At 42.1% G+C, this 19679-nt stretch overlaps 2 protein-coding genes and 2 long non-coding RNA genes across 13 annotated transcripts in view, besides 2 other annotated features; 2 read left to right on the top strand and 2 right to left on the bottom strand.

The window, feature by feature from the left end:
• Positions 1–580, top strand: part of A2M (alpha-2-macroglobulin) — a 48522-nt gene extending 47942 nt beyond the window's left edge. For 4 of the 5 annotated variants that reach the window (NM_001347423.2, NM_001347425.2, NM_000014.6 and 1 more), the window contains 2 exons: positions 64–105; positions 449–580. In NM_001347423.2, the coding sequence (NP_001334352.2) occupies positions 64–105; positions 449–465 (59 nt within the window). In that variant the 3' untranslated portion in view covers positions 466–580. Of the gene's footprint in view, positions 1–63 lie in introns of all 5 variants that reach the window. The other variant, XM_006719056.4, reaches the window with a different exon arrangement.
• KLRG1 (killer cell lectin like receptor G1) overlaps positions 1–19679 on the bottom strand; it is a 265527-nt gene that overhangs the window by 147283 nt on the left and 98565 nt on the right. For 3 of the 4 annotated variants that reach the window (XM_017018685.2, XM_047428074.1, XM_017018684.2), the window contains exon 6: positions 10122–10196. In XM_017018685.2, coding sequence (XP_016874174.1) covers positions 10155–10196 — 42 coding nt within the window. In that variant the 3' untranslated portion in view covers positions 10122–10154. Of the gene's footprint in view, positions 1–9568; positions 9657–10121; positions 10197–19679 lie in introns of those variants that run through there. The other variant, XM_017018682.2, reaches the window with a different exon arrangement.
• A2M-AS1 (A2M antisense RNA 1) lies at positions 233–3111 on the bottom strand. Of its 3 annotated transcripts, NR_026971.1 has the most exons (3): positions 3060–3111; positions 2228–2462; positions 233–2132 (listed from the first exon to the last, which is right to left on the bottom strand). It is a non-coding gene; the product is annotated as an A2M antisense RNA 1 (long non-coding RNA). The 3 variants fall into 3 exon arrangements; NR_137424.1 differs by having other exon boundaries at positions 233–2480; NR_137425.1 differs by having other exon boundaries at positions 233–2462.
• Positions 3218–12699, top strand: LINC00612 (long intergenic non-protein coding RNA 612). Its single transcript, NR_034140.1, has 3 exons — positions 3218–4020; positions 9412–10668; positions 12550–12699. It is a non-coding gene; the product is annotated as a long intergenic non-protein coding RNA 612 (long non-coding RNA).
• Positions 3723–3772: a silencer, noted in NCBI's record as "silent region_4222". NCBI's record gives its function as "represses an Ori minimal core promoter by ATAC-STARR-seq in GM12878 lymphoblastoid cells {active_cell/tissue: GM12878}" and the evidence as "EXISTENCE:reporter gene assay evidence [ECO:0000049][PMID:35858748]".
• Positions 3833–3882: a silencer, noted in NCBI's record as "silent region_4221". NCBI's record gives its function as "represses an Ori minimal core promoter by ATAC-STARR-seq in GM12878 lymphoblastoid cells {active_cell/tissue: GM12878}" and the evidence as "EXISTENCE:reporter gene assay evidence [ECO:0000049][PMID:35858748]".

Below are 19679 nucleotides of genomic sequence, written 5' to 3'. Positions count from 1 at the left end.
GTTTGCTTTCTTTCTCACTTCATGTAATGATTTCTGGTTTTTTGTTGGTTTTTTTTTTTTCAGATGAGTTTGCAATTGCTGAGTACAATGCTCCTTGCAGCAAAGGTAAGCCACTCACACTCCTCCAAAAGGCAGTCAGAGCTCCTTCAGCTTGCCCCCCAAACCTTCTCCTTCATAAAACGCTGGGTAAATATTTGTCAAAAACATCAAATTACTCACACTGCACATTATTATAGAAAAACACATTTATTGGAGAGGGCCGCTGACTCTGTCAAACCTCAGAGAGTCCATAGGATTGCTTATGGGTAATGATTTGGAATAGATTTGGTTTCCCACTGTACTGATTAGGTTTCCTTGGGCACTATGCTACCCAGAACTAAGGGAAAGAATACTCTCTGCTCATGGAGACCCAAATCTGTCTTAATTTTTTTTCTTTCCAATGTCACAGATCTTGGAAATGCTTGAAGACCACAAGGCTGAAAAGTGCTTTGCTGGAGTCCTGTTCTCAGAGCTCCACAGAAGACACGTGTTTTTGTATCTTTAAAGACTTGATGAATAAACACTTTTTCTGGTCAATGTCTTTCCCTGTTTCCTGTTCATTCAATAAATATCATTGTACATTTCCATATGATTCCCAATAGAATACCAAGATTAAACTTAAAGGAATCAAGTGCTGAAGGACTTCAGAATACAAAAAAATGATACAGTGATGTCGGTCTGAGTAGGCTTCATGTAAGGACTGTGGGGAAAGAAGAAAGTATTGGGTTATGTACTAGGAAAGTGTAAAGTGTGTTTGGTTATGGGAATACCCTATGAAAAACCCAAAGGGTGAATTTTTATGAGAAAATAAAAGACTGACTTCACCAGAAAAGACTTTTTACATTAAAATGAAGTAGAATGAAATACAACATTGAACATGTCATATTGAGAGGCAAGATAATTGGGACTTGACCTGAATTGGGAGTGATGTGTCCTATGTTACACCAAAATCTGCCACTGATGAGAGTGATCAGTCAGTTAACCTGGGGTTTCAGATTCAATAATAGATGAGCTGAAAATAATGAAGGGAGGATTCATGCAGAAGCACGTTTTCTCAGAAGAAGGAATGTGTATGACTCAAAGTCCAAATAGGAGTATTATATTGGATCATCTTTCTTCTGGAACTTTGAGCCAGGATTAAAGGATAGCTGTAAAGTCAAGGAGATATTCTGATGCAGAAATCAGTTCTCACAACATCTGATTGATGTCTGATGTCTCACAACATCTCTTTAGTCTATTTTTAAAATATATAATTTTCTTTGCAGTAAGTATTGCGACATATATTTCCATTCTATAGAAGGGGAAGCAAAACTTCAGGAGTTTTTGAAGTAGGAAAGGTTAAAGCAGGAGGATTGAGCCAAGAGAGTCTGAGGACAATCGTAGGAGTCCTACTCTTCATTTGGCACAAAAATGACAATGCTTAGTTAGGCAGAAGGTGAGTATGGATTGTATAAACTAAGAACTGGAAAAGACTTTGCAGTTCAAGGAATCCTTAGCTCTGTCTCCAGGCTAGACAAAATAAGAAATAAAAGCTATCACTTCTGTGTGGTGCTTATAGAATAGAATTAACATATCAGCATTATGGGATCTTTAGGGTGTCGCTTTCCTGGCCAGTCTAGTGGCACCTTTGCCTGAGTTTTGCTCTGGGCCCACTGGGCTGCTTCTGCCCACTCGCACTTGCTACCAACCTGGATCCCGGATCCAAGGGAGATTGAGACGGGTGGAGCAGAGGGGTGTGCTAGGGGTGTGTGAGCAAGCGTGGCCACTGTGCAGTCACACACACAAGCTGCTGCCCAGGTTGGGCAGCTCCAGGTGCCAGCACAGGCTCTCCATGAGGTGGCTGGACCAGGCACACAACAAACAGCTTCCCCCTGGACCAGGCGCATCACAAGCAGCTTCCAACAGTGGCACTGGCGAATGCAGTGACGCCAACCAGGGCCCCAAAGAGGGAGTCACAGCCCGGGCTCAAGGAGCTCCCAGGTCTGGGCTTCTCCGAGGGCCAGAGCTCTTCTCTCCCTGTGGGGAGCAAGGGGCATGTTGCAGCCCTGTTTGTGTTACAGCTCTTTTAACCTTGCTGTGCAGCTCCTCAGCTCCTGCATCAAGCAGACAAGTGGAGAATGAGACAGATGAAGAGGAGCATTACTGAGCAATGGAACAGAAGGATAAGGAAGATGAAGAGGAAGGAGACCTGCAGTTAGTAGCTCATTTCCACAGTAAGGATGTCCTTTCCACAGCAAGGGTGTCCCAACGAGTGTTCAGCTTCTAGCAGAACGGAGACCCTGGAGTGGCTGGCTCCTCTCTGCAAACAGGTCTTCCCATTGAGTGTTCAGCTTTCAGCAGAGAGGAGGTTCTGGAATGGGTAGTTTCTCTCCACAGGTAGGTCATCCATTGTCTTCCCATCCTCTCTTCCAATCTAGCTGAGTCTGGGGGATTTTATGAGCCTCAGAGGGAGGAAATGCATGCTGATTGGTCCATGGGCAGCCATGAGTGGGCCCAGGGAGCAGCACCACAAGTTACCTCTCTGGTCTGCAGGCTTCAAGCCCTCACCAGCTTGAGGGTGGGACTTCACTGGGGACCCATCCCCTTCCACCCAGGAACCTGTCTGCCTCCTGCTCCCAGGCTGTTCATGCCAAGGAGCGCCTGCAAGTCAGTGTCCAGCTGTCTTCAGACCCCTCTCAGCCTCCCTCCCACGCTTGTTGGTGCCCAAGTTCCAAAGGGGGCCGAGACGGCAGGGGGCTGGCGTATCAGCACTGTCCTGAGCGTGTGCACGCTCGGCCAGGCTGTGACAGTACCCAGGCTCGGCCCGACCTTGCTCTGAGTTCAGAGTGGGTGCTAACAGTGGAGAGAAGCCAGGCAGCCGGAGTAGGCACCCTGGAGCCTGCAGTGGGCAGGGGACTTTGCTGGGCCTCTGAGAGCACAGAAAATGTCCACAGCCGCGGCAAGGTGGCTGCAGCTGCACCCTGGGAGCTCCTGCTCCACCAGTTCGGAAGGGGCGGGGCTCCTGCTTGTCCCTGGCTCACCTGCTCCTGAGTGTGCAGGTCCGGTGGCGCCTCCTTGCAGGCTGGGCTGATGGGCGGGGGCGGGGGGGGGGGGGGGGAGGAAGGGAATGTTCCAGGTCCTCCCTGGGCCCGGGACTGTGTCCGGGGCAGGGATGACGTCGCTGCAAGTTCTTCCCGTGGCCCCGGGGCTCAGGGGCAGCCCAGGACTCTCCCTCGCCCGGCTCACGGCCCTGCCTGGGGGGCGCCTCCGGGAGCAGATCACGAGCCCTGGGGCTCAGCCCTCAGGCGCGTCTAGCTCGGCGGTCACCCCAGTGCCGGGAGGACCCTGAAGACGCGCCCCAGGCGGCCCTACTCAGAGCCTCCTCCCAAGGCCCAGGAATGCGGCGCTGTCGGAGGTGTGCGCGGTGGCCACACCGCTGTCCGGGTCCCCAAAGCGGGCCCCGCTCCCACTTCTCGCCTTGGCCCCGAACCCTGGGTCCAGCCCCAGCGCTTTGTGTGCGAACACCGCTCCGCCCCGGACCCAGCTCCGCCTTGGGGCCCCTCTCTGCCTGCCCCTCCGTGCCCGACTACACTGCTTCCCCTCCGGCGGGCGACTCAGCCCGGTCCATCGTGGCGGCTTCCAGGGCGGCAGGCTCCGGGAGTACTCCCGGGGCCGGCTCCAAGGACTGTTCCCCTCCTCCCCACTCCCACTCCGCGGCGGCGGCGGGCGAGAGCGGCGACATAGGGCCAGGGTCCGGAGCGGTGGAGGCTCCTGGCCGGGGAGCACGTCGCCCCACCCGGCAACGCGAGGATGGTGGCGGCGCAGTCGGCTGCTTTGGGGTCTCAAGGCACAGGGGACGCGAGGCACAGATGTCCCACAGCAGCCACTGCGGCTCCCGCAGCTGCTCCGCCGCCGCTGCCCGCCCCTCCCTGCTGCAGCTGGCGTGATGGCAGCGGCAGCTCTGGACGCCCCACTGCTGCCACCATCAGCCTTGTGAAATAGGTACTACCTTAACAAATGAAATTGAAGCAGAGACATGTAATTTGCCCAAAGTTACTAAGTTAGTGACAAAGCTAGAATTCAAGACCAAGAAGTCTAGCTTCCATGCTCTTAACTTCCAACCATGGTGACACCTCAAACAACTTCAGACAAAAAGGCCAGGAGAAAGTATATTTCAGAGCTTAATAAACATTATAATTAGCTGTCAAATTAAGTATCAAGCCAGGGCACAGAACATAAAAGAAATCAGAGTATGGCTATGGGAACAAGACAACAGGATTATAATTTTACCTCTTGGTTCTAGTTTTTTTCTTTGTTCATATGGAAATCGTTACTGAAAAGGTACTTTAAGGATATGCTTGTTGCAAATCATTAGCTGTATCACTGACCAAGAGTGTTTATTCCTGAAATACTAACTGATTGCCTACTATCTGCCAGGCACAATATCCCATGCTATAATACAAAATTAAACAAAATAGGATTCCTCCCTTAGAAAAACTCACCGCAGAGTAAAAGAAAAAGATACACATCTGGGTCATTATAATGATCAGGTGCTCAAGCTATTCATTGCCCCAGTGGACTGGAGATACAATGGCCTTCTCAAGTTTTGGGGTATTACACTCAAATTCATATGTAATACTGGAGAAAAGGCCTAATTACAACTTAAACTGGATTTCCCACCAGCCTGGTGGCATGGGAATCTTGGAATTAAAATTACGTAGAATTTTTAAAAGTGATGTATCTTCTACATCTGATTTTGTGAACTGAAGTTTATTCTTTCCAGGAAAGCATATAGATACACGACAGGAAATGAAATGGATACTTGTTGGGGTCAGTTTTATGTATAGTTTGTATTTTATTTTGAAATATGATACACTGCTATTCTCTTGCATTTTCTTATATGTGACTCACCACTAACCCTATATTCCCCCATTTCAGGCCAGTTGGTCATAAGCATCCATTTGCCTCAGAGAATACTGGGTTGTTATGACAAGAATATAAAGTTGGAAAGAAATAGAATATTTGAGTCTACCCTGTAAGAATAAAAAGAATAAAAGGGGTTTAAATTTATTTAGACCCTATTGTTTAATCAAGAATTCTGGCCAGGAGCAGTGGTTCATGCCTATAATCCCAATGCTTTAGGAGGCCAAGGCAGGAGGATCATTTGAGGCCAAGAGTTTGAGACCAGCCTGGGCAAATTATTGCTCGGGAAAAAAAGGTCTTATTTAGTATTTTAGTCTTTACAATGTTTTTTTCTATTATGCAATATTCTCTCAAATACTTTATGTCCATCCACGTTGTCTGAGACATGCCACTTTAACATTCTAGTTATGCTGTAGCTGTCATTTTACCCTAAGCCGTTAGTAGTACTGATCCACATAAAATTGGGCTGTTTAGGTGTTTAACTGTTTAAATGTATAATATATCTGATATATTTATATATTGTATAAAAAATCACCTAACACAATAGATATTTACTATGTCTGCTATAAATATATATCATATAACATATAACAATATATTATAAATGATAATATACTATAATATAAAATATAATAAATATATTATAAATGTACAATATATCCGATATAAATATATAAATATGTCAACTATATTATACATATAAATGTATATGTATAATATATACATATATGTATAATACAATGTATTTATTATGTATATATATAAATGTATATGTATAATATATAAATGTATAATATATCTGATATAAACATATCAGATATATTATCCATCTATTGTGTCAGGTGATTCTTTATACAATATATAAATATATCAGATATATTATCCATCTATTGTGTCAGGTGATTTTTTATACAATATATAAATATATCAGATACATTATCCATCTATTGTGTCAGGTGATTTTTTATACAATATATAAATATATCAGATATATTATCCATCTATTGTGTCAGGTGATTTTTTATACAATATACAAATATATCAGATATATTATCCATCTATTGTGTCAGGTGATTTTTTATACAATATATAAATATATCAGATACATTATCCATCTATTGTGTCAGGTGATTTTTTATACAATATATAAATATATCAGATATATTATCCATCTATTGTGTCAGGTGATTTTTTATACAATATATAAATATATCAGATATATTATCCATCTATTGTGTCAGGTGATTTTTTATACAATATATAAATATATCAGATATATTACATATCTATTGTGTCAGGTGATTTCTTATACGATATATAAATATATCAGATATATTATCCATCTATTGTGTCAGGTGATTTTTTATACACTATATAAATATATCAGATATACTATACAGTTCAGCCCATCAAAGCACCATATTTTGGGGGGTTGGTTTCCGTGTCCCAACACTAGCTACGAAAATATTAGCTATTAGCTACCTATAACTCTTCAGTAGTAAATTCAAGAAACGTAAAGTAATTCTCTTCATTAAGTTCTTGCCTTGTCTACTAAAAAAATGGTCATCACCGATGTGGACAATGAAGACCTGTGGGGTTAAAAGCTCTAACTAGTATGCCTCCAAGATTCTTTGATTGCCTGCCATCATGATCGAAGAATAAATAACTTCTTTTTCATCTTATTTATTTATTTTTTGTAGAGATAGGGTCTCGCTATGCTGCCCAGGCTGGTCTCAAACTCCTGGGCTCAAGAGATCCTTCTACTTAAGCCTCTCAAAGTGCTGGAATTACAGGGGTGAGTCACCACGACTGACCATTAATAATTTCTTTCAATGACACTTTAACATAGGCTCATTCATCTTTACCTCTAAAGAAAAGTCTTTCTGGTCTTTTTAAAATTATATTTTTTGGCCAGGCACAATGGCCAGGTGCGGTGGCTGACACCTGTAATCCTAGCACTTTGGGAGGCCAAGGTAGGAAGATTGCTTGAGGCCAGGAGTGCAAGACCAACCTGGCAAACATCTGGAAAACATAGCAAGGCCCCATCTCTATTAAAAAAAAATTAATTCTATTTTTCTAAGAGAAAAAAGATTCCCAATTCAACAACACTTTTCAAAAACTTTATCTGGCAGCTACTCAGGAGATTGAGATGGGAGGATCATATGAAGCCCAGGAATTCAAAACCAGTGTGGGCAACATAGTGAGATCCTATCTCATAAAAAAATAAAAAATAAAAAAAGCTTTACTTGGAATACAACCCATGACTCTGGTTATAAATACAAAATTCTTCAAATTCATTTAAAGGAATTTAATCCTAGCTTCTCGGATGAAAAAAGGAAATAATATTCACAATTTGATCCATCATCAGTAGACAAGTTAAATGTGTTTCACAAAAGCAAGACATATTAATTAAGCAAAATCATATTCGAGTAACCACAGGAAATATAAATATACTGTCTCTTACCTAGAGAAATCTTATAGTCTAATTGTGAAGATAGTCTTCACGTGACGAAAAAGATCATCATTAATCCAAAACATATAAGTTATAAAGAAGCGACATATACCAGCAATTCTAAAATCTGGTTAGCATCCTTTGTAGAATTTATTTTAAAATGCAGATATCCAGGTCTCATCAATAAAGATTTAATTAATTATTTTTGGGGATGTGCTCAGACATCTGCGTTTTTTGTTTTTTGTTTTCGTTTTTTTGTTTTTTGAGATGGAGTCTCACTCTGTTGCCCAGGCTGGAGTGCAATGGCGCAATCTCAGCTCACTGCAACCTCTGCTCCCAGGTTCAAGCAATTCTTCTGCCTCAGCCTCCCTAGGAGCTGGAACTATAGGCGCCCACCACCACGTTGGGCTAACAGGCATCTATGTTTTTAATGAACTCTGTAGGTGGTTCTATCATGCAGTTAGTTTTCAGAACCATTCACACTGACAGTAAAGGCTATTTATTCCCAGCAGTTGAAAGACCACTAAGGACACAGGAATAGTTAGCAAAGCTACTTAAAGATGCCAGGGCTGGGGCCGGGTGCGATGGCTCACGCCTGTAATCCCAGCACTTTGGGAGGCCAAGGTGGGCAGATCATGAGGTCAGGAGATCGAGACCATCCTGGCTAACACAATGAAGCCCCGTCTCTACAAACAAACAAACAAACAAACAAAATACAAAAAATTAGCCGGATGTGGTGGCGGGCACCTGTAGTCCCAACTACTCGGGAGGCTGAGGCAGCAGAATGGCTTGAACCCAGGAGGCGGAGCTTGCAGTGAGCCGAGATCACGCCACTGCACTCCAGCCTGGGCGACAGAGCGAAACTCCATCTCAAAAAAAAAAAAAAAAAAAAAAAAAAGATGCCAGGGCTGGCTGGGCACAGTGGCTCACACCTGTAACCCCAACACTTTGGTTTGGGAGGCCAAGGCGGATGGATTGCTTGAGTTCAGGGGTTCAAGACCAGCCCAGGAAACATGGCAAAACCTCATCTCTACCAAAAACACAAAAATTAGCCGGGCATAGTGGCATGCACCTGTGGTCCCAGCTACTCAGGAGGCTGAGGTGGGAGGATAGCTGGAGCCTGGGAAGCTGCAGTGATCAGTGATCATGTCACCACACTCCAGCCTCGGTGACAGAGCAAGAACCTGTCTCAACATACATACATGCATATATAAAATTAAACATAAAAACAAAAATAAATAAAGATGTCAGGGCTTATGTTGAACCTTAACTGAGAGCAAGATTCAAAAGACACTGAGGCTTATTTTTCTTTCTTATATCTATAGTTACACAGGGAGCTGTCTAATCTTGGATGTATCCAAGTTGATATCTGGTTTTATCCATTGAAACCCACAGTGAAAATGGTAAATAGGTGCTAGGTGTTTGGATTTTTTTAATCCAATGTAAGAATAAAACAATGGTATCCTAATAATGTCAAAGCAACATTGGTCATAATCTAAGGAAATTGAATTCATATAGTACCAAATATATATTTAGCATTGTGCTAGGTGCTGATACATTCTAGATAAAAATATTACACATGGGTAACCAAAACTGTCAAATGACATTTCAGGGCAAGATATAATTAAGTACCAAAATCATTGGCATAGTCTTTAAGTACTGTGAAATGTAGAGAAAGCTGAGATGAATGGCAGTGTAGAGACAGATGGCTTTGCAAATCATCTCAGATGACTAGCTATCCAATGTGAGGACACTTCTCCCTCACCTTCAAACAAATGCTAAAGACGCCTGTTACTTAATCATATGAATATTCAATCTTGTATCTAATGTGGTGGTATTCATAATACTCTGTATATGTTTTCATCTTACTGGACAAGTGTCTTCGAACTCATTTAAATGAATTTAACCCCAGCTTTGTTTATGTATAGACTTCTTCAATCTCATAGTCTATTTGTCTCTTTGTACCCCACAGGCTTTCTTTATTCAGTAACACTGGTGATTTCTCTTATTTTCCTTAGCTTGAAAGATCTAGCCACGTGAGCAGGACAGAAGTGCACAACAACCATATCTTGATTTCTGTGGACCAGGTGGGGCCCCTGCCAGCCTTGCTAGACAGACCCAGGTGAACAGTCCTTCTAGGGGATCTCATCACCAGGCAAGCACGTGGTACGAGAAGAGCAGTCATTAGGAAGGCCATTTGGAAAAGCACATCCTCTCTGTTCACGTGAGATATTTTACATCCTCATTCCTCATCGCAAGCTTCCTGGGATTTGGAGTGTCACAGACAAGAGGGTTGGGGGAGGCCAGTAGGTATGGATTTGTTTATATTAAAATGAGCATATGAATATTTATATGTTTATATTAAAACATATATGTTTGTTTATATTACAATGAGCATATGAATATTTATATGTTTATATTAAAACATATATGTTTGTTTATATTAAAATGAGCATATGAATATTTCTGTATACTTCAGATAAACATTCTTTTCCATAAATAAGCTTCATCATCCAGAAGCCATGTTGAAAGTTGGTAATCAAGGATAGGAAGTGTTTCCAAGGGTTGTCAGTGATTAAATCAACCTTACCTTAGCATACATGTATGAGAGAAGTTAGATAAATTATACATAGAGAGATAGCTAGATAGATAATAGATAAATAAGGTAGATGACAGATTAGATACAGATGATAAACAGATATGCTATCAGTCTAGATCTATTACTCACAGTCAGTCGTATCACAGTGTAATTCCATCAACTTCATTTGCAGCAAAAGAACAGCCCCTGATGTACGCCTGTTTCCTGAATATTTGGAAATATTAATATTAATATAGATAGAGTCAGCTTGCCAGTATAAAGAATCTATCTCTCACTATAGGCAGAGCCATGTGTTGGATATTATGGAGGAATATGTATTATTTTAATCGTTTAAAAGACTAATAAACTTCTAATCTACTTTTGGGAGCCTCTGCTCAAGTTCCTGAGGTTCCTACTCTAAAATCCACATCACCCTCCAACTGCTCCCTATGTGAGCCATTAGGGAGCACAATGAATTAGAGAATGAATCCTATTAGCCCACTAAAAAATTATCTTTCAAAGGATGAAGACTGATGCTAAGGAAAAAGAGATGAGGCCTCCCTGGTTCCGCATTATTACTCCTTCCTTTCTTGGGTTACGGATTGAACACTGACCTTTTCTTTCACTCTTCTGCAAGACAACCCCATAAGAAAGCTGAAACCTGCTTTTGTGAAAGCCTATGATTACTATAAGACAGGTGAGCAAAACAGAATCCTAGATAAACTCAGTTCTTTCCAGTGTGGTGTCTTTGATGGAAAAATAAAATAAAAGCCAATGTGTTTGGGGTTTTTTTCTTTTTTACTTTATATAGATTTAGGGGGTACAAGTATGGTTTTGTTACATGGCTACATTGCACAGTGGTGAAGTCTGGGCTTTGAGTGTAGCCATCACCCAATTAGAGTACATTGTACCCATTAAGTGATTTCCCATCCCTCTTGCCCTGTCACCCTCCCACCCTTCTGAGTCTCCAGTATCTGTTATCCCACTCTCTATGTCCATGTGTACAAATTATTTAGCTCCCACTTATAAGTGAGAATGTGAAGTATTTGACCTCCTGTTTCTGAGTTATTTCACTTGAGATAGTAGCAACAAGGGTGGAAGTGGAGGCCAAACCTCAATTCTTAAAGCAATAAAAGTGTGGTAAACCCTTGTACATCTTGTTTTCAGTTTAATCTGTCTCCATAACTTATTTTTTCTTCCTTGGCCTACAAAACTACTGCCAAAACTACCTGTAATATACATGTATATTGATATGTAAGCCTATCAGTCGTGCAAAATAATCCAAAGTACCAAGAGTTTTACGTAGAAGTGCTTATAAATAAAGGCATACATAAATCTTAAAAAGATAATATAGCAATGCAAAGAAATAAAGAAGAGCCTAAGAACTATACAAATAATTATAGTAGGAACTAAGAGAGGGGTGAGAACTATAGCGTTGAGTGGTCTTTAAACAGCAAATGAAGAGGCTGGGCACAGTGGCTTATGCCTATAATCCCAGCAGTTTGGGAGGCCATGGCAGAATGATCTCTTAAAGCTAGAAGTTTGAGACCAGCCTGGGCAACTAAGTGAGAGCCCATCTCTACAAAAAATTGAAAAATAAAATCAGCCAGCATGCTGGTACACACCTGTAGTAGTCCCAGCTACTCAGGAGGCTGAGGCAGGACGATCATTGGAACCCAGGAGTTTGAGGCTGCAGTGAGTGAAAGAGTGAGACCCCATCCCTAAAATACACACACACACACACACACACACCCCCCAAGTAAAATTTCAGCTGGAATATAAATCGTGGGTATTATACTGATTTATGGAGAGAATTATGCTAAGTCTTTCAGATGAGGAAAACATATAAGAAATATCATGCAAGAAAAAAGAAGCAAATATGGAACAAGAACTGAAAGAACACATACCCGCGTGATCCCCCCTAGTACTTTGCTTGAACACTGTAGCATGAGCAGGCTTTGATTTTCCACCAGAGTAACGGATTATACTAATGGTATCAAGAGTGGAAATTCCTTGACCATGTCTATATATTTCCCCAGTGAGCTGACATTTTTGTGATCACGCAGGCCCTGATTCAGTATGGTTTGCAGTCCTTAAATAGGTCAAAGCCTCTCCACATAGCCCTGTCCCGTTGAAGCTCCCATTCTCAAGCTTTTCTCCCATTGTGTGTTTCAGATGAAGCAAATTTGCTGAATACAGTGTCCCCTGCAGCCGATAGGCAGTTTGCTCTACATATCCCAAGCCTTCATTTTGCTCTCAAAAGCAGTCCTCCTAAATACAAAATCATCTACATCTTTTATTAGTTGATATCAGATTTATCATACTGCAAGGTAACGCAGAACTATACAGCTTTGGAGAGGAACACTAACTTCCTGGAAGGTTTCCTGATTTTCTTATCAGAAGAGTGTAAATGAAATTACCCTGTGATTAGGGTAGATATCTGATGGATTCCATTCTCAGCCATAACCAGTTTGGTCTCCTTTAGCAAAGCCCTGCTGCTGTCCATATCCAATTAGAATTAAATTCACTCCTTGGCAAGCCCGAAGTCATCCTGTTCGCTTTCCTCTTCTCTCCACAGGCACAGAGCAAGAAAATGTTTGAGGCTTGTGTCTATAAACAAGACTTGGCTGGAATCCCCAGACCCACGACTTTTTAAAAGGATATTTTGTCCCTGCAATACAGATACTGAATGAGGTTGGCAAATAAATATGTATTTCTAGAGACTCTATAATTGATTCCTTCTTCATTTAATGCAAATTTACTCCATGCGCACTTACTGCTTTTCATTGTACCCTGTATTTGCAATAAACAAATAATGGCATCCAAATTGAGGTAAGAGCACCTAGCATAAATTTAGGAACAATTCACAACAGCCTCACTACTGCAGAACCTCAGAATATGCAAAGCAATGTAATGGCAATCTGGGAAAGTTTCACTCCAAGAAAAAACTTCTAAACTGAAGATTAGTGACAAGAGTGTAGAGTATATCTGAGTGGAAACATTTTTTGCAAAAGCAGAAGAAATGGTTTATTTTAGCACCAGGTAAAATGACTGGCCTGTCTAGATAGAAGCTCCGTATTGCAGAAAGGTGAAAATTTATCAATCAATCAATTAATTAATAAGTTATGTTTAGGTGGGAGTCATAATATTACGACAATTTCATGGAATTAGAAATGCTTAACTTCTGGTCCAAAATCTGCCACTGACCATTTGTATGACTTTGGGTTGAAAAACATCTGGATATCAGTTTTATGTGTGTGACAGAATCACGTGTTATTGGAGAAGTATAAATAAGTACAGGTGGCGTATCCCTTATCCAAAATACTTGGGACCAGAAGTGTTTTGAATTTTGAATTTTTTAGATTTGAAATATTTGAAGTATGCTTACCAGTTGAGTATCCCTAATCCAAAAACTGGAAACCCAGAATGTTCCAGTGAGTATTTCCTCCTAGCATCACTTCAGCACTTGAAAAGTTTCAGATTTTGGAACACTTTGGATGTCAGATTTTTGGATTAGAGATGCTCAACCTGTATAGTAGATCCTCTCTTAACACCATTGATAGGTTCTTAGAAACTGCAACTTTAAATGACATGACATAGAACAAAACCAATTTTACCCTAGGCTAATCAATATAACCAAGGAATAAGATCTAGTGTTCAGTAGCAAAATAGAGCAACTATAGTAAACAGTAATTTACTCTCCATTTAAAAATAACTAGAATAGTAGAATTGTGTTAGGAAAGCTCCTAACACAAATAAATAATAAACGTTTAATGTGATGAATATCCCAATTATAAGTGATCATTACACGTTGTATGCTTGTATAAAAATACATGTACCCTATAAATACATGCAACTATTATGTATCCATAAAAATTAAAGATTAAAGAAGTCCATGAACTATTATTTTTCATAAAGAGTCATAGGAAAATTTGCCTTTTTAAAATTTTGCACATAACCTTGGTAATAAAAATTATATTTAAATTTTAAAAATAAAATGAGCTGTTTCTACAGCATATATCTGATCACAGAAACATCACCAAACTTCTAAATGAAGACCCAAAACATTTCTAATATTGAACATTGAAATAAACATGATAAATAAATAAAAACAAGGCGACTCCCCAATTTATGGTGAATCACTGAGTGACAGCATTCATAGTGTTACATGACCAACAGATTCGTATGACCAGTGCACAATAACAGACCAGTTACACTGAGACAGCAGGGTTTGTAGCAGAGAAAGGGTTTAACGTTCACAGAGCACCAAGTGAGGAGATGTGAGGGGACCCTCAAATTCACCTCCCTGAAGAGTTCTGGGCTGGGGCTTTTAAGGGGATCATGGAGGGTGAGGAGCTGGAGAATTGGGACCATTGATTGGCTGGGGTAAGGAGAATGAATTCATCAGGACATGGAAACTGCATTCTTTGGTGAGTCAGCTCCTATGGGGTCCTTCAGACCAGTTGATGTCAGTAGTTTCATTAGTATGCAGCACCTGAAAGGATATCTCAAATGGAAAACTTTGCATTTTATAATGTTCAAGTTGTTATCTGTAGAGCAGTTAAGGGGAACTACGATCTAGGGTCTGTGTGATTCTAGGGCAACAGGCAGCAAACAACTAGGAGGAAGCAGGTCCGAGCACAGGCTGACCTAGTGCTTAATGCTGAGTGTGCTGCAAGCTGGGTTTATTTTCATTTCTCCCCCTCCCTTCTTCCCTGATTAATTTTATAAAGTTTATAGGGATGGTTTCCTTAGTGGTGATGGGTTAAATCAAGGAAGAAATGTTTACAAACCAAAGTTTTGGTAGGAAGTAGCACCTCCTACCAGCATGCAGTTCAACAACAAATGAGAACAAATGTGGTGGGGTCGCGAGCATTTTCATCCTGCATCATTTATTGCCATGTATCTGTATGATTATCATCTACTTCACAGGGTAGACATCTGATGGATCCCATTCTTAGCCATTAATTTCACAAATTATTGTGAAATTATGTATTCATTCTTTGTTTCTTTTTCCAAGCTGTGTATTCTAGTTCAGGGTCACAGGTGGTCACAGCCTTTCCTGGTAGCTCAGGGCCAAGGTGGGAACAACCCTGCACAGGACACCCCGTCGCAGGCACACTCACACCCACACTCACACTCAGACTAGGACCATTTAGATGTGCCAACGAACCTAATGTGCATATCTCTGGGATTTGCAAGGAACCCGAAGTGCCCAGAGGAAACCCACACAGACATGGGGAGAATACGCAAACTCCACACAGACAGGTGGCCCTGGCCATTGTCTCATCAACATTATAACAAAACGAGGTTGAACAGGAACAATCTTATTGGAGGACCTGCTGTACAGGAACAAGTTTTCTAAGGAGATTAAAAAAATGTAGAAGCACAAAAGAGATAGAAGGGTTAATTTTTTAAAAGGCAATACTGAGTATCTACCATCTGCCTGGCACTGCTTTAAGCATTTTTCTGGTATTAGGTAATTTTATCCTCACAATCACATTATGATGTAGATACTATTATTAATCCCATTTTTAAATGAAAAACAGAAGTTTGGAGAAGTTCAGAAACTTTCCCAAGCTCCAAGTGAAAAATGAGGCAAGATTTTAACCTAAGCATTCCAGCTCCAGAGTCCATACCCTTAACTACTTCTCAGTGCTACTCAGCTGTGAGGAAGGAGACGGCTGTCTCTTCTTTTGAGATATCAGATGATGGTGGGAGGCTGAATGCAGAAGGACAGATGTGTTCAAAAGAAGAGAAAGTATGTAAAAGCAAAGCAGAAAAAAGAAAAATGGGGCAAAGAAAACAGGAAAGGCATCTGTGAGACCCTTGGGTGAGTTCATGTCTGAGACCTGTTGGCATCAGCATGGCGTGATTGTCCGCTTCTTGTGTGAGGCATGTGGCACTGGTAGACTGTGACCAGTGCTGCTCACGATTTGAATTTGCCCTTCCCAAAGTCAGACTATGCTGAGGGAGGAGAAAAGGTAACACCTACAAAACTTCTTGCTTAGAGTCTCTTTATTTAAAGATTATGTGGCCCTACCTTCTTTCTTCCCAGAGTAGAGAAAGAAAAGAGCCTCTCAGTGTCCTCGAAAGAGCCAATAGACTTATAATTGGATAATACAATGGAGTCCAAGATTATGAATAATCCACTATCCTGTATTTAATAAAAGGGTCAGAGAATCTCCATCCTCAGAATTGGATCCAGCCATGCCTGCAGACGCTCTTATATAAGGCACATGAGATTCCTGTTGTAAATCTCAATCACAAGAGAGCTGCATCAGCTGGGGCCCAGATTTGCAGGGCTCCCCAACAAATGGACACAATAGAGAATGCCACCTTCGTGCATAGTGCTGTATTTGGTGGGAAACGAAGGAACAGAGAACATCCTGTTGATTGGTCTCTGACTCTTAATACTCTGATATTTTTGTCTAATTGCAATGAAAAGATCTAAGTAAGGCTTAGGACAGAAAACAGAGCAGTTCTCAATTGGGGCCTATGCTAAAAGAGTTAGACATGGTTTAATGTTGAAAAGTCAGGACAGTGTTGATGGCAGTGATAAAAAGTGAGGCTAGAGAAATCAGTTGAGACTCATTTATCAAGCGTGTTAACAGAAGTTTTCATGTTATTTTATAAGTAATGGTCTTAGGGGATTTTTGGGGGTGTTGATTTTCCCGTATGCAGACAAGTGAAGGGTGAACAAGACAAAGATGAGCTATACTAAGCGTTAGAACAGCTCAGAGGAGACCTGCAGTGGCTAGCTCTCTGTAGACAGGTTGTCCTGACGTCTGCCATCAACAGACAGGAAGCGTGGAGAGGATTGCTCCTCTCCGCAGCTGGCCTCCTGGAAAGGGTTGCTCGCCTCTGCAGGTCTCTGAATCTCTCAGCAGAGAGGGTAGTTCCTCTCTGCAGCTGGTCTTCCCATTGTGTCATCTCTGTAGACAGGTCATCCTGACATCTGCTGTCAGCAGAGAGGAAGCCCTGGAGGGGGCTGCTCCTCTCTGCAGCTGGCCTCTTGGAAAGAGTTACTCCTCTCTGCAGCTGGTAATCCCGTCTCTGGAAGTCTCTGAAGCTCTGAGCAGAGAGGGTGGTTCCTTTCTGCAGCTGGTCTTCCCATTGAGTCCTCTCTCCGTTCTCTCCATCCTATCTTGTTCTGGCTGAGCCCAGGGCTTTTATGGACCTCGGAGGGGAGGAAGTGTGTGCCGATTGGTCCATGGGCACCATGGGTGGGCAGGAAGAGGCACTACAAGTCCCCACTCCAGTTGGTGGGACTGGCAGCCTGGCCCCCAGCCTTCAGGCCCTTCCTGATCTGAAGGTGGGGCCTTACTGGGGGCCCGCCCCCTTCCTCCCAGGACTCTGCCTCCTGCCACCATTCATGGCTCCCAAGTCCTCATTCCAAGATCCAAGCCAGTGCCAGGAGCAGAGAGAGGCCAGGCAGTGGAAGCAGACACCCCTGAGCTTGCGAACAGGAGTGTGGGAGGGACCTTCCTGGGCCCATGAGGGTGCACACTGCAGAGATGCCCAGGTCCTGCGCCAGGGGAGCTCCCACCTCGCCAACTTGAAAGGGGGGAGGTTCCCACGTGTCCCTGGCTCCTGCCTGCTCCGTGGAGCGCGAGGCCCAGGTCTGCAGCTGAGGATTGGGCAGCTGCAGCTGCACCCAAAAGAGCAGATCCTGCCTACTCCCGGCCCCCTCCGGGAGCACAGGGAGGCTCATATCCACAAGCGCATTTGGGCGGCTGTAGCCCCACCCAGGAGGACGGGGCTCCTGCCTGCTTCATAGAGCAGGAAGCCTGGGTCTGCAGCTGAGGTTTGGAGGACTGAGGTTTGCAGGGCTGCAGCAGCACCTTGGGGAGCCCCCACCCCAACTCAGAAGAGGCGAAGCTCCCACTGGCTGCATGGGGCATGATAGCAAGCAGCCACTGCCATTAATAGGAAGCTAATGAAATCTTTTAGAGACAACACAGCGGCAAGATCAGATTTTGTTTAGGATGATAACAAGTGGCAGAGCTAGTGTGAGAGAGACAGGTGGCAAGGAGATTATTACAGTCATCCTTATTTCTCATGGAAAATTTTCCTGAAAAATGGGCTATAAGGATATTCCACTTCTTAAAACTGTATTTCTTACCGCTTAGGGAGAGCCAAAATGCTTTGCACCAATGTGACACGTTTTAGACCAACTGAAAGTCTACAAAGAGCTCTATTTTAATAATTAAGTCTACTGTAGATTTCAGGTTCAGCTTCCTACGAAGATTTTTTTTCTGAAGTTTATTAAAATCAATAATTGACACTAGGTGGCAAGTCAGGATCAACAATTACTGTGTTCCCAGCGTAGTTATGCATCTTGATTTGAAGTGAGGAATGGGGGAGTACTATGATAAGGTTAGACACAGACTAATAGCATTCTGAAAGACATATACTGATACATAAGACACGTATAGCATATATCAGATTCATGCCCCAGATACCGAGCAGTATTATTTTCAAATACGTTTTTTATATGCTTCCCCTACACTTACTTGTTCCTGTTTGGATGGCTTAGCAGAAGCTCCAAGATGCCCCTTTCATATACAGTAATAAAAGATAGCCACAGGGTGGCAGCAAAGGTTAAAAAAGTTGAGTGCTGCTACTTCATTAAAAATCTCGTAAAAAATAAAAATAAAAATAAACTTAGGCAATGGGAACAGAGAAGAGAGGAGTAAAATAACCATAGAAACCTGAAATGAGAAGATAAAATAAGGTACTAGCACAAATCATCCTTATCTATGGGCAGAATTGCATTCACAACCCTGGAAATAGCTGATTTTTGCTTTAAGTTTTATTTTCTTAGAAACAATGTATTCTACAAGAAATACCACATCCCTTTATTTTTTGTAAATAAAATATGACTCTAAACCCCAGCTCCATTGGACTGACAGGAAATTTATCTCAGACATTTTGGGTCCTTCCTACCTGGTGACCAAATACAGGATCAAGATATGGCACCCACTCCGCCACCGGCATCTGTCTGTAGTCCACATGACCATTCTAGATCCACCACTCTGTGGCCACATTGTGGGCCCAGAGGATAGGAATCTTTGACCAAGAACAAGCAGCTGGGCCTGGAACCCAACCTTCCAAGTGCTCCATGCAGACCTTCCTTCTGAAGCCCTGATACTTACTCAGAGAGTACCAGAAACTAGAGTAGGTCCCTGCTCTGAAGGGACTCACTGACCTTTCTCTGTCCAGACTAAAAGAATCATTTTAGCCTGGGGAAAGTCCCTCTCAGCATAAACTTCTGTCTCTTAATTGGCTTTCTTCCTTCTCAAATTCTGTTTTTCTCTTGTTTGTTCTTTTAAAATCAAAAGCCAGGTAACCCTGCCCCAAAGGTTCAACTCCTTCAAGATTTTTTACCTAGCCAATCATGTAATCTGTGAACAAAAACAGTTTCATTTCTTCCTTACCAGTCTGTATACCTTTCATTTTATTTTCTTCTCTTATTTCATTAGCTAGGAATTCCAGGACAATGATGACTAGGAGTAGTAAGAGTAGACATCCCCGTCTTGTTCAGGATTTGAGGGGAAAGTATCTAGTCTCTCACCATTAATTATAACGTTAGCTGTAGATTTTTTGTAGATGTTCTATATACAGTTGAGTTTGGAGAGTTTTTATCCAGAATGAGTGTTGAATTTGTCAAATGCTTTTTCTGTATTTACTCATATGACCAAAAGT

The sequence above is a fragment of the Homo sapiens genome, chromosome 12, assembly GCF_000001405.40.
Source record: "Homo sapiens chromosome 12, GRCh38.p14 Primary Assembly".
Classification (NCBI taxonomy): Eukaryota; Metazoa; Chordata; class Mammalia; order Primates; family Hominidae; genus Homo; species Homo sapiens.
This window is presented reverse-complemented; position numbering and strand designations above follow the sequence as displayed.